This window comes from Homo sapiens, chromosome 7, assembly GCF_000001405.40.
Source record: "Homo sapiens chromosome 7, GRCh38.p14 Primary Assembly".
Lineage (NCBI taxonomy): Eukaryota > Metazoa > Chordata > Mammalia > Primates > Hominidae > Homo > Homo sapiens.
In genome coordinates, this window is record NC_000007.14 from 53,647,254 (window position 1) to 53,665,497 (window position 18,244).

General features: G+C 33.7%; 1 long non-coding RNA gene across 1 annotated transcript in view; it reads right to left on the reverse strand.

Annotated features, from left to right (window-relative positions):
• Positions 1-8,255: 8,255 nt before the first annotated feature.
• LINC01446 (long intergenic non-protein coding RNA 1446) overlaps positions 8,256-18,244 on the reverse strand; it is a 156,423-nt gene continuing 146,434 nt past the window's right edge. The window contains exon 6 of the long non-coding RNA NR_038371.1: positions 8,256-10,195. This is a non-coding gene — a long non-coding RNA (long intergenic non-protein coding RNA 1446). The remainder of the gene's footprint in view (positions 10,196-18,244) is intronic.

The window sequence follows — 18,244 nt, forward strand, 5'->3', positions numbered from 1 at the left end:
GTATTGGAAGTTAATGGCAGAGGAAAAATTAACAATATGTATTATTCATTACAAATACATATTATGTTTCAGATGTATGTAAAATAAACCGCAATTTGTTTTCAATCCATGTGTGAATCTTAAATAGTTGCTCCTTCTTCTCGTCTTCCACCTCTTTTTCTTGTTCCTGCTCTTGTTCTTCTCCTTTACTTCATCCTCTTTCTCCCTCTTTTTTCTCTCCTCTTCCTCCTCCTCCTTTTTTAGACATCAGTATTAAAGAATGTCTCCATGTCTTCTAAATAGATATTTAGACCAACAGAATTCAATTGAAAATTGGTCCCAATTTTATGTTTCAAAATTGTTACTCTAACAAATACCTTCCCTATAGAACAGCTTTATTAAAGCATATTTGTTACAGAATGTACCTAATCACTCAGTGACATGTAGTCAGAACTCAGTAGATTCATTTAAACTGATTTCATAACTGTCATCAATGATTTTTTTTATTAAACTACCAAATATCTTTCTTTAAGGTTTAAATTTTAATGCAATTAAAGATTTCACTGCTTTATTGGGGGTTTTCCATTTTTTAAATTGTTGTAAAATACACATAACATAAAACTTACCATGTTAGCCTCTTTCATGTGCACAGTTTAGTAATGTGAAGCATATTTGTTGTGCAACCAATCTCTAGAATATTTTTATCTTCCAAAACTGAAGCTATATACCCATTATACAAGTCCCACTTTCCCCCTTCCCGTACCATTGGCAACCACTATTCTGCTCTTTGTGTCTCTGAATTTGACTATTCTAGATATCTCATATGTTTTAGTCGATTTAGCATTGCTATAAGGGACTACCTAGGACTATGTAATTTTTTTAAAAAAAGTTTATTTAGCTTATGATTCTGCCAGCTGTACAAGAAGCAAGGCACCAGCCTTTGCTTCTTGTGAGGGTTTTAGACTGCTTCCACCAATGGTGAAAGGAGAAGGGAGGCTGGTGTGTAGAGACCACATCATGAGAGAAGAAAGCAAAAGAAAGAAGTGGGAGGTCAAGGCTCTTTTTACAACCAGCTCTTATGGGAACTAATAGAGTAAGAACTCATTAATTAACATGAGGGTGGCACCACACCATCCATGAAAAACCACCCCCATGACCCAAATATGTCCCATTAGGCCCCACCTCTAACATCGGTGCTCAAATTGCAACATGAAATCTGGAAGAGTCAAACAAACCTCTTTGTTACTTATTTCATTTAGTATACTGTCCTCAAGTTTCATGCAAGCTATAGAATGTATCACAATTTTCTTTTTTTAGGGCTACTATTCCTATAGATAGAGATATTCTGTTTAGTCATCTATCCAGTAATGGCCATTTGCATAAATTCTATGATTTGGCTATTGTGAATAATGTTGTTATGAACATGGGCGTATGTACAAATATTTTTTCAAGACTTTGCCTTTGGTTTTTTCAGATATACACTCATAGATAAAATTGATGCATCATATGGTAATTCTATTTTTAATTTTTTAAGGAGCTGTCATACTATTTTCTAAAGCAGCTGTACCATTTTACATTCTTACACACCATAGACAAGGGTCTCTAGGTAAAGATGCTTGTATTATTAAAAACACACTATGTTAGCTGGTAAATACCTAAAATACATGTTTGGCCTATTAAAATGTATTTCTTGCTTATGTCACTGCTGAATTAAAATAAGCAGGGTTGGCTGGATTTCAGCTTCCAACATTATTCTGCTTCCTACTTTGTTATTTTCAGGGTTTTTGTTGTTTTGTTTTGTTTGTAGTAGTCATCCTGATGGGTGTGAGGTTATATCTCAATGTGCTTTTGATTGCATTGTACTAATTATGAATTATTTTGAACATCTTTTCAGATATTTAGTGGCTATTTGCATGTCTTCTTTGGAGAAATGTCTATTTAAGTCATTGGCCCAATTTCAATTGGGTTCTTTTATTTTTGTTGCACTGTAAACATTTTGAAAACATGCTGCATATTAACCCTCATCAGATATATGACTTGAAAATATTTTCTGCTATTCTGTCAGTTGCATTTTCACTTTCTCAATTGTGTCTTTTAGTGCACAGACATTTTAAATTTTAGCGTAGTGCAATATATCTATTTATATTTTTGTCACCTGTGCTTTTGGTGTGATGTCAAAGAAATTTTGCCAATTCAAGTCATAAAGCTTTTCTTCATTGTTTTCTTTGAGTGTTTCATAGTTTTAGGTCTTATGCTTGTCTTTGATCCATTTTAAATTTATTTGTGTATATTGTGTAAGTTAAGCATCTAACTTCATTTTTGTGTGTGTAGATTTCCAATTTTGCCTACACCATTTGCTAAAGGCTGTCCTTTCCTATTTCAATTTTGTGTGTGTGTGTGTGAGACAGGGTCTCACTCTGTCACTCAGGCTGGAGTGCAGTGGTGTAATCATGGCTCACTGCAGCTTTGACCTCCCAGTCTCAGGCAATCCTACTATCCTAGCCTCCTGAGTAGCTGGGACCAGAGGGGTGCACCACCACACCCAGCTTTTTTTTGTTTCTAATTTTTGTGATGGGCTATCTCCATATGTTGCCCAGACTGGTGTCCTTACCCACTGAATGAGCTTTGCAACTTTGTTTAAAATCACTCTTCACCATTGATTGTTATGTTGTTGTGAGCTTGATATATATGGCCTTTATTATGTTGAGGTAGTTTCCTTCTATTCCTTGTATGTTGTGTCTTTTTATCATGAAAAATGTGTTGAATTTTTGTCATTTGCTTTTTCTGATCAATTGAGCTAATCATATTTTTTTTAAACAGAATGTTGTTCATTTTGCCAATATACTGTATTAAATTGATTGTTTTTTATATGTTGAAGTATCTTTGCATTTCAGGAATAAATTCCACTTGCTCATAGTGTAGAATTCTTGTAATGAGTTGTCGAATTCTGTTTGTTAGCATCTTGTTGAATATTTTTACATCAGTATTCATCAGAGATATATCTTTATTTGTATTATAAAGCTTTAATTATCCAGGGTGTAAAAAATGGAAAACATCTATTAATTTTAATAGTGTTTTACCTACTTTAAAAAGACAAAAATTAGAAAATAAGATGGTCACAATTCTACCCAAAATCCAATCCTGAATTGCACAGTTAACTGAAAAAGTATTTAAGTATCTATGGCTTACTACTTGAGGGAATCCAATATTGCTACCACCCTCCTTCGCAATTAAACTCCAAATACCCCACGATGTACGAAACCTATCCCATGTTTGCTTCATGTCTCCTGGGAATCCTTTGCTTGTTTCCTTTTCCCTGTTTTCATTCGTGCCCTTTTCATACTCATCTTTTCCCACCCTATCTAATACTCCACATCATTTCAGATCCAGGTGATACATGAGCCAACAAAGGACTCTCCTCTGATCCTTGGGTGCATCATTTCTTTCAGTGTAGGAATGCTTTGTATTTTCTCCAAATACCAGTTTCTGCCAGGGATACAGAACTTACATATTCATGAAGTCAATTTCAATATAATTTTTCTTTAATTGATAAAAATGTGTCTTTTCCATAATTTTTCTTCCTTTTTGTCTTCTGCAATTAAAAAAGATTTAGTTCCTTTTTTTTTTTAACCACAGATTCATTCAAAAACTTAGAAGGTTATTATAGATGTCTTAAGTTACTATTTTCCAAACTAAATACATTCATTTTTCTTTATGACATGATTTATAGACTCTTCCAAACCTGGTCACCAGCTTTTTGATGTACTATAATTATGTTCGTCTGGTGTAATAAAATAGTATAGACCTTTTGTGATGAAGTGATTAAATGGAGAAATATATCAAGTTCATGAATGGGAAAACTTCATTCTATAAAAATGTCAAATTCATTCACATTCATATAAAATCTTAATAAAATTATAACTCGTTGTAAAATTTTTAAATTAATAGAAATGAATAAAGGCCCAAGGAAAACACAATGATATTTTTAAAGGATGCGTGAATGTATGGAACCAAATATTATTAAAATATAATTAAAATAATTTATTGTAGCTCAGAAATAGACATTGTTTAATACTACATGTGTTTTTATATAATGTTATATGCATATTTTATACATTAATATGAGTAGAAGGTATATAAAATTAATGACCAAAGGAAATATTCCTCCATATATGGTGTTAGAACATTTACTACTTATTTGAAAAATAGAATTTGATTCATAACCCATCCCTTTTAGGTAAATAAATTTCATAGTACATAGAGACCTAAGTATAAAAAAGAAACTATCCTAGGAAAGCCTAATTATAGAAGGCCAGTCCTTTGGCTTGTGTCCTTGAATCTACGCCTTCTGAAGGTTTCATGGACACTGTTACTGCAATTAAGCTCTCCTCTCCCACTGGATTATTGCCTTGATTATCAAAATGCATCTCAGATTGTACATATTTAATCCCCTCCCTTGAGTCTTCAATTCTACTGCTGCCTCATTCTTTTCTGCCACTTGAAGCGTAGCATCTTCAAAAGTTTTCTATGTCCTTGCCTTCAATTCTGCAGCATCCTTCAACTCATTTTAATCATGTTTCATTTCATTTTTTACTTTGAATCTATTTTTTAAATACAGGTCATTATTACCCTATAGCCTGCCATAGACTTTGACCTATACTCTGACCTAATTGTAATCAGTTTTGCAGCAACATTGGACATTTGCTTTATCTCTTCCCACATTCTCCTAGTTTTCCTCTGAATATCCTGTCTGTCAGGACCTCCTTCCTGAGAACTTTAAATTTGATATACCCCTGAACTTTTTTCTTTCACTTTTATTCTTTCCTCTCTCAGACAAAAATGACAAAAGTGAAAAGTTAATGTTGTACTGAAGAAGCTGAGGTATATATCAAACATGCCAAGGGTGAAATCCAACCATTCAAGAACATGTTCAATGCTGAATGCTATCTATGTCCAAGTGTGTACCTGAATTGGAATAGGCCATATTCAAATAGGAGAGAGAAAGTCAAATTTTCTCTGTTTGGAGATGACATGGCTGTATATTTAGAAAACCCCATCATCTCAGCCCCAAATCTCCTTAAGCTGATAAGCAACTTCAGCAAACTCTCAGGATAAAAAATCAATGTGCAAAAATCACAAGCATTCCTATACACCAATAATAGAGAGCCAAATCATGAGTGAACTCCTGTTCACAATTACTACCAAAAGAATAAAATATCTAGGGATAAAACTTACAAGGGATATGAAGGACCTCTTCAAGGAGAACTACAAACCACTGCTCAAGGAAATAAGAGAGGATACAAACAAATGGAAGAACATTTTAACATTATTTTACATTTGTTACATAATGTACAACATTATGTTAACATTTAACATAAAACGTTAAACAGTTTAAGCAGTTTAACAATGCTCATGGATAGGAAGAATCAATATCATGAAAATGGCCATACTGTCCAAAGTAATTTATAGATTCAATGGTATCCCCATCAAGCTGCCTTTGACTTTCTTCACAGAATTGGAAAAAAACTACTTTAAGTTTCATATGGAACCAAAAAAGAGCCTGTACAGCCAAGACAATCCTAAGCAAAAAGAACAAAGCTGGAAGCATCATGCTACGTGACTTCAAACTATACTACAAGGTTACCGTAACCAAAACAGCATGGTACTGGTAGCAAAACAGATATATAGACAAATGCAACAGAACAGAGGCCTCAGAAATAACCCAATACATCTACAACCATCTGATCTTTGACAAACCTGACAAAAACAAGCCAGACAGAACAGAGAACTCAGAAATAACTCCATACGTCTACAACCATCTGATCTTTGACAAACCTGATAAAAACAAGCCATGGGGAAAGGATTCCCTATGGTGTTGGGAAAACAGGCTGGCCATATGCAGAAAACTGAAACTGGACCCCTTTCTTACACCTTATACAAAAATTAACCCAAGATGGATTAAACACTTAGAAATAAGCCATATTTTTTAATGCCATTGTTAAAGTACTTCTCAACTGCCAGGCATTCTACTATAGTAATTTTACCTTTAGGAATGTGGTATAAAATTATCACTTTTTAATATTTGCTCTATTATTGAGGTGTTCTTTCAGTAAGACATCAGACTTTTCCTAAATAATCCAGAATTCTAAAAATATTCCATTAGCATACAACTTTTCTTCTGTAGCTTACTGTTGGTAGCTTAGTTTTTTATCCATAAATTTAAATGCATAATTGACTCATTTTAATGCTGTAGTGAAACAGTTTAACAATGGTATAGCCAGACATTTCCCATACAAAGCAGTCAGGATCCTCAAGACTAGCCTGTATTTTTCACCTTCTTCCTTCTGTATGTCTATATTACTCCAATGATGGTAAGCATTTTCAACCACTCTGTTTTATACACTTTCCCTTTCATAATCTCTTCTATACAGGTATTCTAGAAGAGTAGGCTATAGCACAAGTTTATCAGATATTGTAATGATGCCACAATTGCTACTTGGTCTCTCATGTCTCTCTTAGAATCCCAGAAGAGGGAAAGAAGTTTAAATAGTCCAAACCATCCTCTTTTCATATAAATTAAGTGCCATGCTCCTATAATTTCATTCTCAGTTATTTTATTTCTGTACACATTCTTCCAAGATGATCTCATTCTGTCCCATGGTTTTAAGTATCTCATGTATACCTCAGGCTTCCTACTTGAAACCTGAAATTTAGTTGTCTCTTAGGCATCTCCCAAGTAACATAATCCTCCATTCCATTCTATATGTTTGCCTCCCTAGTGCTTCCTACTTTGACAACCGAGTGTGCCATCCACTTATTATCTCAGACCCCAAATTTCATAGTGACTCAAGATTCCTGCTTTTTCTCTCATCTTCTATCACAATCTGATAATAAATTCTATTTATTAAGCCAGATTAAAATAAAGAAAACTTTAACCTAGTTCTTCTTATAATTTCCTTTTTTTTTTTTTTTTTGACATGGAGTTTCACTCTTTTTGTCCAGGCTGGAGTGCAATGGCGCAATCTCGGCTCACTGCAATCTCTGCCTCCTGGCTTCAAGCGATTCACCTGCCTCAGCCTCCTGAGTAGCTGGGATTAAAGGCACCCACCACCATGCCTGGCTAATTTTTTTTATTTTTAGTAGAGACGGGGTTTCACCATGTTGGTCAGGCTGGTCTCAAACTCCTGACCTCAGGTGATCCACCCGCCTCGGCCTCCCAAAGTGCTGGGATTACAGGTGTAAGCCACCTCCCCCAGCTTCTTCTTACAATTTCTACATCTAAAATCTATTCTCAGCCACCAATTCTTTCCTGAAAAACCTTAAGAAGAAAAGTAAAATCACCTCTGAAATGAAAATCAGCAAAGCATAGTCTCTAAAAGCACTTAGTCTGCAGCCAGGTGCCTAGATTCAAATACAGACATTTCCACTCACCATGTGTTAGGTATCTCGCATTCACATTCTGCTTAACTTCTTTGTGCCTGTGCCTCTGTGACTTTGTTTCTTCAATTACAATATGAGAATACTAATAGTGCACACCTGATTGGGATTTTTTGGGTATTAAATGTGCATATATATATATATATATATGTGTGTGTGTGTGTGTGTGTGTGTGTGTATATATATGTGTGTGTATATATGTGTGTATATATATGTGTGTGTATATATATATACTTAGTACAGTATAGTATGTAATACATGATTTTGAGCTGAATAAAGTAACATTCTTTAAATGCTGCCACTTCAAAAATAACATTCTTGTTTCACAAAAGATTTATAAAGCAAGTTAAATGAATTAATCAGAATAAAAATATAAAATATCAATACTTATAAAAATATAATGTTCAAGACAGTGTGCACTAGAACAAAGCATAAAGACAAATTCAAATATAGTCTAGAAATAGACTGGCATATTTAGAGAAATGCCTGATTCATAAAAAACAATTCAAAAAATTCTTTAATTTTCTAGACTTACTTTAGGGAGACTGAGCAATACAGAAGGAAAGCCATGACAAGAAACCTTTGTTCCTTCCTTACAACAGCAATGAAAATAAGTGGCCTTTTAAAGAAATAATGCTGAATCAGTTAGATATTTATATCAAAAGAGAATCTTCATTACTAACTGCAACACACACAAAAATCAATTTCAGATGTATTGTATACCTAAATACAAGAGGTACAACATGACCTCTTTTGGAAGATAACGTTGGGAAATATATTAGTGCCTGTAAAGGAGATAAATATTTGTTAACCTAGTTGCAAATACACTAACCATAAAGAAAAATAATGATATTTATTAAAATAAAGAAATTATGTTCATTATTAAAAGCATAAAAATAAAAAGCAAGCTGCAGAGTGAAGTAGGAGTGAATATAAGCATACATATAAAATTGACAAAGAGCTCATATCCATAATATGTAAAGAATTCAATTAAACCAGTAAAAAAAGAAGACCAATAAAAATGGATGAAATACTTGAACATGCATTTAGAAAAAGAAGATAGCCAAATTGACAATAAAAACATGAAAAAGGTGCTCCCCATCATTAGACATTAGAGAAATTAAATTATAATGTAATGTGAAATCTCTATACATCCCCCAGAGTGAATAAAATGAAACAGGAAATGCTAAACGTTTGGTGGATATGGTAATATCTATTATAGCTGCATATACTGCTTTCTGTGATTCAGTAATTCCTCTCTCAGCATATATTTGTACACTGAAAAACATGTAAAAGAATGCTCACGATAGCCTTATTTGCATTAATCTAACACTGGAAACAGGAATATGTATTAAGGGAATAGATAAATAAAAGGTGTGCTTCTTACAATGAACTAGCAATGAAAATGACATAAATACTTAAACTGAGGTTAATGTCTCAATCATAATACTGAAGGAAAGTATCTAAATGAAAAAATAAATGTGTATATGATTTCGTTTATATATCATACCAACACAAAAAAAGACTCGAGAAAAATAATGCTTTTTGACATCAAAGGAAATTTGGGAGTGTTGGTAACATACTATTTCTTCATGAGGGAGTTAGACACATATCTTTCTGGTGAAATATTATTAAGCTCTACACTTAGCAATTTCCACACCTAGAACAAAATGGATATAAAAAATAAAATAAAAGCTAGAAACTGGCAAATATGCAATTGAAGACAATATGAGTAAAAAATTTCTGAATGTCCAGCTGGGAAAGTAAGCAAATAAATGAAATTGTATCAGCTAGGGAGGAATGTGTAATTAGAGAAACGTTTAATTTTTTAAACTATTTTACAGGGAATATATTAGAAAATATTTGTATGTAAATTAAATCATTCAATAAACTGGAAAGCTAATTATAGAATATTGGATGCAAATCTTAGAAATTCAAGAGAGTATAGTATCCAGATATTGGCTATTGAAAGAAGAATGAGCATTTTCCTAATGCAATTCACAATTCCCTAATGCAATTAATGTAGTACTTTCTTGGTAAAGTTGAAATTTATTCTTCCTAAGTAATCTCCACTACACAACAGATCTACTACTATCCACTACTATCCATACCTAGAAAATAACATTTCATAATTTTTTATTTGTTAACATTAACTGGATCAAGGTACTTTGACATAGCTGTGCAATAATTTGGAAAACATCATTTCAGAGATTTGGACCTTAGTCTTCTGTACTCTCTGCTAAGGATCTTCTAGAAAATGTCCCCATGTTTTAATGCCTCCGCATTTCATAACATCACAACATTCTCACACCATAAAATAGCTCATGAGCAGTCAGTGTGTGTCATTATCTGTTGAAATGTGCCCCACCAACCTGTTTGAATTCCAAAATGAGCAGCATAAACAAAGGATATGAAGTGTGTGGACTGCCAGGAATGCAGAGCCTGTGGCTCAGCTGAGGACTCACTTATACAGAGCCTGACATTCAGAAGACCAATGCCAGTGCTTGAGGAAAAATGGCAAAGTTAGGGAACTCTCAATCCCTATTTTCACAGGTGATGAATGAGCACTGCCCTCCCCCCAACTCCAAGTAGTGAGGTTCCAGGCTCAATTGGTGGCAGAAGTGCGAGCTGAAACATTTCTTGATGTCCACACATGGCATACACCTTTCATATCCCACGTCTTCTTTGTTTTCCTTTTCTTTGCCCTCTCTTTTCTCTGTTGTTCACACCTTCAGTTTCAATCTCTGGGTAGTGTGTAGTATTTTCTGTCTTCTTTGTCCTGCAAATCAATAAGGGTGATAGTCACAAATAGAATATGTGTGAACATTCACATCAAAAGTGATGCTGTGATTTGAGGAATTCTCTCTTAAATGAATTAGGATGTTTTGGGATGGGGTGGTCGTGGGGAAGAAAACAAACCAAAACAAACACAGAACCCTGCCTAAAGTATTGATCTCAGATTGATGCTGATTTGAAAAAAGAAGTTCTGTAATTTGGGGTTGAAGCAGAGTTAGGTCAAAAAACATGAATTGGCTTGTAGAGTAAGTGCAGCCAGGAAACATACACTTCAAGAATTACTTCCTTGAAGTAATGTACACTTCAATGATTACTCATAAATTAAGCAATAAAGAATGAAATTTAACCCCCCACACACAGGGTTTTGTGTCACTCTGAGTCACAGTTGATATAAAATCATTTTTTGTTACCATTCTAAATTCAGAAATATACAAGTAATGTGACTGACTTATTTTAGATGTATGGATTCCTGAAGAGCTGACGTTGTAGAATATATGAGCTGCAATCAGTTATTTTATAATTGCACTAAATCATCAGGAATTTTCTGATTCCATGATGCTCAGAGCTGTGTGGCAAGGAAGACAAGGCTTAGCTTTCTTATGGATTTATTTTACTTCACCTTGATTCCAATAAAAGCAATTTTTGATGTATGAGAGAGCAAGAAGTACATATTATTTTACTTTTTATTTAAAATATTAATCATCATTATAAAAATATTCTCCTAGCTTCATCATTTCATATTTCAATTACTTATTAATTCATATTTAAAATGTGTAAGCTCTTCTGTGAAAGTTCTAGGAAAACATAAACAGCTTGTCCTTTAAAATCTTTTATATAATTTTAAATAACTATTTGAAAAGTATATAATGCATTTTTGACTTTAGGGATTAAAAATATATTACTCTATTGGAAGTGGGGTAAGTTAAATATGCTGCTTAATGTTGATTATTAAGCAAATTAAAATATATTCAGACTTCAAAAGTGTTTGTTTGGACATAAAAATATTTTCTAGGCTCTAAAATTATATTTTGAAGTTTCAACTATTCTCATCAAAAATTTATAATTTTGTATGCAATTCTTGGGGGAAAGTGTTTAAATAGTTTTCTTTTTTAAGTATAATCTATATATACAGACATGTAAGTACATAAGTATAGAAGTATATATAATATACACACATTAGTAATATACTTATATATTAATATATACATGTTGTATATACATATTACTATATATAAAACACATACAAAGTATTATTTTCCATCTGATGGTTACATATAGTTATATTTGTAAGGACTTTAAGACGTAGAAGTAGGCAAATTATTATCACATTGAAAATATATAGCACCAATTTAAATTTCAGAATAAATACGTATTTTTTCAAATGCAAAGTAGTGGGTGAGCCAGATGAAAAGTGAAAAATAACTGTAGAATGCAAATTTAAATTTGAAGAAGCATGAAGGATTTCTGATGGTTAACTTTTTAAATAATTTCTGGGAATTTTAAAATTTATTTAATAAAATCTCAATATTTTTACTTAAGTTTGGTTGGGTTTTTGCGTGCATTTATATTAATATTTCTCACATATGTGTATTTTCTCCTTTACTTCTCATGCGACTTATTTTCCTTAACTCAGTAGGCTAACAATGCCAGTAGTGAGTCAATGCTTACTTAAGCTTATTCAGCACATTTCATTCAGAGAAAGAAATGCAGGGTAGGATACAAAGAAAATGTAATTACTCAAATGTTTCTTATTGGATAATTTGTTTTGGAGGATTAATCATATACCATCATTTTGAAGCAAATGGGAGGAGTAATTATTTGCTCTGTTTCTGTTCATCTGCTTTGGAAAGCTGGTGAGGATAGAAGGTGAACTTGTCGTTTCAGGGAGTAACCTCTACGGCCCTTTCCTTCTTGTGTGCAGTTTTTAGACACAGAAACCGCTGGTCATCTGGCCATTCCTTAGAGAGACTGAGCAATACTGAAGAAAAGCCTTGGCAAGAGATCTCAATTCCTTCCTCGGAAACCCATTATTGTCTGTCCTTAGGCAAAACCCTCAACACCCCTGCCCTAGTCTCTGCCTGTATGTGCAGAGGTTAGACTAATCCTATAGGTAAATTTTTACAGAACAGGGTTTCCTTGGTCCAGAAGAGACACAGAGCAAGTTATTTTCTGTAAGTGTGTCAACAAATGCCCATCACAGCTCAAGAGACAGGAAGATCCACATCTGAGACGTTAAATCCATTTTACGGACAGAGGAAAATTCTTCTTGTCTTCAGTCTTCATGTAATCACTTCCCTGGATTTAGTTAATCCTGTCTTGCCCAATTTTACAGTCGATTGTAGCCTTCCTCAGATGCCATCAATGTCCCTCAACACCATCAATATCTATTGTTGTTGTTGTTAGTGGTGATGGTGGTGGTTTGGTTTTAATCAGATTTGCACCCATATCATGCCCTGCTGTTAGATCAAAGCACTGATGTGATAAGTCTGCTTATGAAATTGAGTATAGACTAAAACTGATGCATTGATTATATGTGGAAGTAAAGAATGGGAACTTTAAAATAAGGCTTTACATTATTGTCTCCTGAAATGTTTAAAATTAGGTGTGTATTTCATAGCACAAATCAAGTTATTGCAAAGATATCCTTCAGGGTCTACATAAGAAATTCCTAGTGTTCTATTCACATAAAAGACTTAGTTTCTTAGAAATTATTTATGTGTTACATTTTGTATGCTAAGTGCTTTGAACCTCTTTCTGGTTCCCTCACATCACAGAGCATGCTACATTAACTTGTCAATGAAAGGAAATTCCCCAATTTATATTCTTGTTAGTCCCCAGGAAGAAGAGGAAAAAGCAGGCAGAAAGGGAAAAGTTTAAGTTTACTTGACTGTATCATCCTAATTTGTTTTAAGATAGCAACAAAAAAACAGTTTCTGAATCTCATTCAACTTAAACCCATTTCTTGCATGAACATTTGACATACTTTTTAGGGTACTTCTTGGCATGTATTATATACTTCCCGGGGTTTAAATAATATTCAACAAGGTATAATGGTCCTCTTTAAAAGTAAAAGAATCTAAGAGTCTGGGAGGGCAAGTAAAGTTTACACGTTAAAAGTAGTGAAGTCAAGACTGAAACCTGAGTCTTCTGATCTCACATGCGTGTTATCCTATAATGCACGACATCTGGATCAAAAAATGACAAAGGGAACATAGTCCACACCTAGTGTCAGCAGTGAAAAAATTTGCTTACACTCAAATCTATAAGAACCTGACATTTTGGGAAAGATAGTCAAGTGAAATAAAAGAGTTGAGAATTCAGGGTGCATGTGCATGTGAACATGCTAATGAGAAACTTGCTCATTGCAGCCCTCCAAAACAAATAATTAATTATTCATCTTATTTAGAACTTGAGATGAAAATAAGTTCAATATTTCTGTTTCCTTTTCTTTTGGTCATTATTAGTTATTGGGCAAGGTAACCACATAACTGCACTATTGAATTTGGGGAATTGATTTGGGAAGCAAGCCTACATGAATGCAATAGATAAATAGATAAATTAAGCTGAAAGTAACCTACATTAGAGTTTTCCAGAACTGGTGATAAAAATTACTAACAAATATTAGTGAGACTATATTATATGCAGCTGTTAACTTCAGAAAAGTAGGTGCTCCTATCATACCCTGAAGAGTGGGAACCATGGTTCTTAGTTTTTACTACCTGTTCTCCAGACACAAGGGCTTGTCTAACAATGGTAAGTATGATGTATCAACCCTCTGTCTTGTACAGGATATATCACTAGGAGAGGGGTCATTTAAAAACCATTACCGTATCCTCGATGTGCTAGCCTCATTCAGAGGCAGGCAACCCTTGGCTGTGCATGATTTGAGAAAATGCTTTCCATTTTAGAGTGGCTCTCCTCAGATGTTATTCTGCCATAAATGCCACTCATAGCTACTTCCTAAATTAACAGACTTTTCTTCTGAGAAGTTTTGAGTTTCAGAAAATTTGAATAGAAAATTAAGTCCTCCTTTACTCCCACACTGCCCCCTCATTCCCTTTATTCTTATCATCTTGCTTTGGTGTGGTGCATTTGTTAAAACTGATGAGACAATATTGATACACCGTTATTAACTAAAACTATAGTTAACATCAAAGTTCACTCTGTGTTGCACAGTCCTGCGGGTTTCGAAAATTTTAATGACATACATCTAACACTGTAGCATCATAAAGAATACTTTCACTACCCTATTTCATCCACCTTTTGTGCTCCACCTTTCATCCCTTTCATCTCACTCTCTCCTGGAAGTCCCTGGCAGCCACTGATCTTACTATCGCCACAGTTTTGGCTTTTCCAGAAAGTCATACAGTTGGAGTCATACAGTAGCCTTCTCAGATTGGCTTCTTTCACTTTGTAATATATATTTAAATTTCCTGTATTATTCTTGTGGTTTCCTGGCTCACTTTTATCTCTTTTTTTCTTTTAAACAATAAAGGATTTTATTATTTCTCATAAAAGGAAGTCCGGCTCCATGATGTCACCAAGGAATTGAGTTGTTTCCATCTGTCTCTGTCATCCTCTGTGAGATGGCATTGTCCTGGGCTGGTTCCACTCACTGCTGAGCAATGATTGCAGCAGTTCCAAGTATCATGTTTCCATATGATCTTATATAGGAAAATAAGTGGGACCATGTCTTTCCTGCTTTTTTAAAAAATATTTTTTCTTTTTATTGTAAATATGTGTAATATAAAATTTACCATTTTTACCAGAACATAAAATTTTAATCATTTTAAGTGTACAATTTAATGGCCTTAAGTTTATTCATGTTGCTGTGCAACTATCACCACTACTAGTTTCTAGAATTATTTTTATTATCCCAACCTGAAATTCTCTAGTCATTAAACAATAAATCCTCCTTCACTCTAACCCCACAGTAACCTTTATTCTACTTTTGTCTTTATGAATTTGTCTACTCTAGGAAGATCATAGAAGTGGAATAATGTAATATTTGTCATTTTGTGTCTAGTTTATTTCTCATAACATAATGTTTTCAGAGTTCATCCATGTTGTAGTATGCATCAGAATTTCATGCTACGTGAATTTCATGGTTTTTAAAAAATTTCAATATTTTTTGGAGAGCAAGTGGTTTTCGTTACATGGATATGTTCTTTAGTGGTTATTGAAATTTTGGTGCACTTGTCACCTGAGCAGTGTACACTGCACCCAATGTGTAGTCTTTTATCCCTCACCCTCCTCTCATCCTTTCCCCTTAGTCCCCAAAGTCCATTATATCATTCTAATGCCTTTGTATCCTCATAGCTTAGCTTCCACTTATATGTGGGAACATATGATAGTTGGTTTTCCATTCCTGAGTTACTTCACTTAGAATATTGGTCTCCAGCTCCATCCAAGTTGCTGCAAATGCCATTATTTTATTATTTTTATGGCTGAATATATACACTGCATTTTCTTTATCTTCTCATTGATTGATGGGCATTTAGGTTGGTTCCATATTTTTGTTGTTGTGAATTGTTCTGCTATGAAAATGTGTGTGCAGGTGTCTTTTTCATATAATGACTTCTTTTCCTCAAGTAGATGCCCAGTAGTGGAATTCCTGGATCAAATAGTAGATCTACTTTTAATGCTTTAAGGAATCTCCATACTGTTTTCCATAGTAGTTGTACTAGTTAGCATTTCTACCAGCAGTGTAAAAGTGTTTCCTTTTCCCCATATCCAGGCCAACATCTATTATTTTTTGATTTTTTTAAATTATGGCCGTTCTTGCAGGAGTAAGGTAGTATCTCATTGCTGTTTTAATTTTCATTTCCCTGATGATTAGTAATGTGGGGCTTTTTTATATGCTTTGTGGCCATTTGTCTGTCTTCTTTTGAGAATTGTCTATTCAATTCCCACTTTTCCCACTTTTTGATGGGATTATTTGGGGTATTTTCTTGTTTATTTGTTTGAGCTCCTTGTAGGTTCTGGATATTAGTCTTTTGTCAGATACATAGTTTTCAAATGTATTCTCCCACACAGAGTCTGTGGGTTGTCTGCTTACTCTGCTGATCATTTATGTTGCTGTGCAGAAGATTATTGGTTTAATTAGGTTCCATATATTTATTTATGTTTTTGTTGTTGTTATTGTTTTGCATTTGTTTCTGGCTTTTTGGTTATGAACTCTTTGCCTGAGCTAATATCTAGAAGAGTTTTTCTGATGTTATCTTCTAGAATTTTTATGGTTTCAGGGCTTAGATTTAAGTATTTTACCCATCTTGAGTTGATTTTTGTATAAGGTGAGAGATGAGGATCAGTTTCATTCTACTACATGTGGCTTGTCAATTATTCCAGCACCAATTGTTGAATAGGGTGTCCTTCCCCACTTTATGTTTTTGTTTGTTTTGTCAAAGATCAGTTGATTCTAAGTATTTGACTTTATTTCTGGGTTCTCTATTTTGTTTATTTTGTCCACCTGCTATTTTTATACCAGTACTATGCTGTTTTGTTAACTATAGCCTTGTAGTATAGTTTGAAGTCATGTAATGTGATGATTCCAGATTTGTTCTTTCTGCTTAGCATTGCTTTGGCTATGCGGGCTCTTTTTTTGGTTGCATGTGAATCTTAAGATTGTTTTTTCTAGTTCTGTGAAAAATCATAATGTTATTTTGATGAGAATTGCTGTGAATCTGTAGATAGATTTGGGCAGTATTGTTATTTTAACATTATTGATTATACCCATCCATGAGCATGCAGTGTGTTTCCATTTGTTTATGTCATTGAAGATTTATTTTAGCAGTGTTTTACAGTTCTCCTTGTAGAGATCTTTCACCCATTTGGTTAGATAAATTTCAAAGTTTTGTTTTGTTTCTGCAACTGTTGTAAAAGGGATTGTGTTCTTGATTTGATTTTCAGCTTGGTCACTGTTGTTGTATAGTAGTGCTAGTGATTTCTTTACGTTGACTTTGTATCCTAAAACTTTACTGAATTAATTTATCAGATCTAGGAGCTTTTTGAATTAGTCTTTAGAGTCTTCTAGGTATACAATCATATAATCGTTGCACAGTCACAGCTTGACTTCCTCGTCAATGATTTGGATGCCCTTTGGATGCCCTTGATTTCTTGCTCTTATCTGATTGCTCTGGCTAAGACTTCCAGTAGTATGTTCAATAGAAGTGGGGAAAATGCACATCCTTGTTTTGGTTCCAGTTCTCAAGGGGAATGCTTTCAACTTTTCCACATTCATTATAATGTTGGCTGTGGGTTTGTCATAGATGGCTTTTATTACCTTAAGGTATGTCCCTTCTATGCCAATTTTGATGAGAGTTTTAATAATAAATGGATGCCAAATTTTGTCAAATGCTTTTTCTGCATCTATTGAAATGATCATATAATTTTTCTTTTAATTCTGTTTATGTATCACATCTATTGACTTGTGTATGTTAAATCATCCCTGCATCCCTGCTATGAAATCCAGTTGATCATGGCGTATTATCTTTTTGATATGCTTTTGGATTTTGTTAGCTAGTATTTTGTTGAGGAGTTTTGCATCTGTATTCATCAGGTATATTAGTATGTAATTTTCTTTTTTTGTTATGTCTTTTTCTGCTTTTGGTATTAAGGTGATACTGCCTTCATAGAATGATTTAGGGAGGATTCCCTCCTTATCTTTTGGAATAGTTTAAGTAAGATTGGTAACAATTCTTCTTTGAATGTCGTACAGAATTCAGCTGTGAATCCTTCTGGCCCTGGACATTACTTTGTTGGCAGTTTTTTAACAATTATAGTTTCAGTGTCATTACTTGTTTTTCATTTGTTCAGAGTTTCTATTTCTTCCTGATTTAATCCAGGAGGGTTGTATATTTCCAGAAATTTATTCATTTCCTGTAGATTTTCTAGTTTGTTGATGTAAAGGTGTTCCTAGTACCCTTGAATGTTTTTTTTTTGTATTTCTATTATCAGTTGTAATATATCTTATTTCATTTCTAATTAAGCTTATTTGCTTCTTCACTCTTCTTGGTAAATCTTGCTAAAGGTC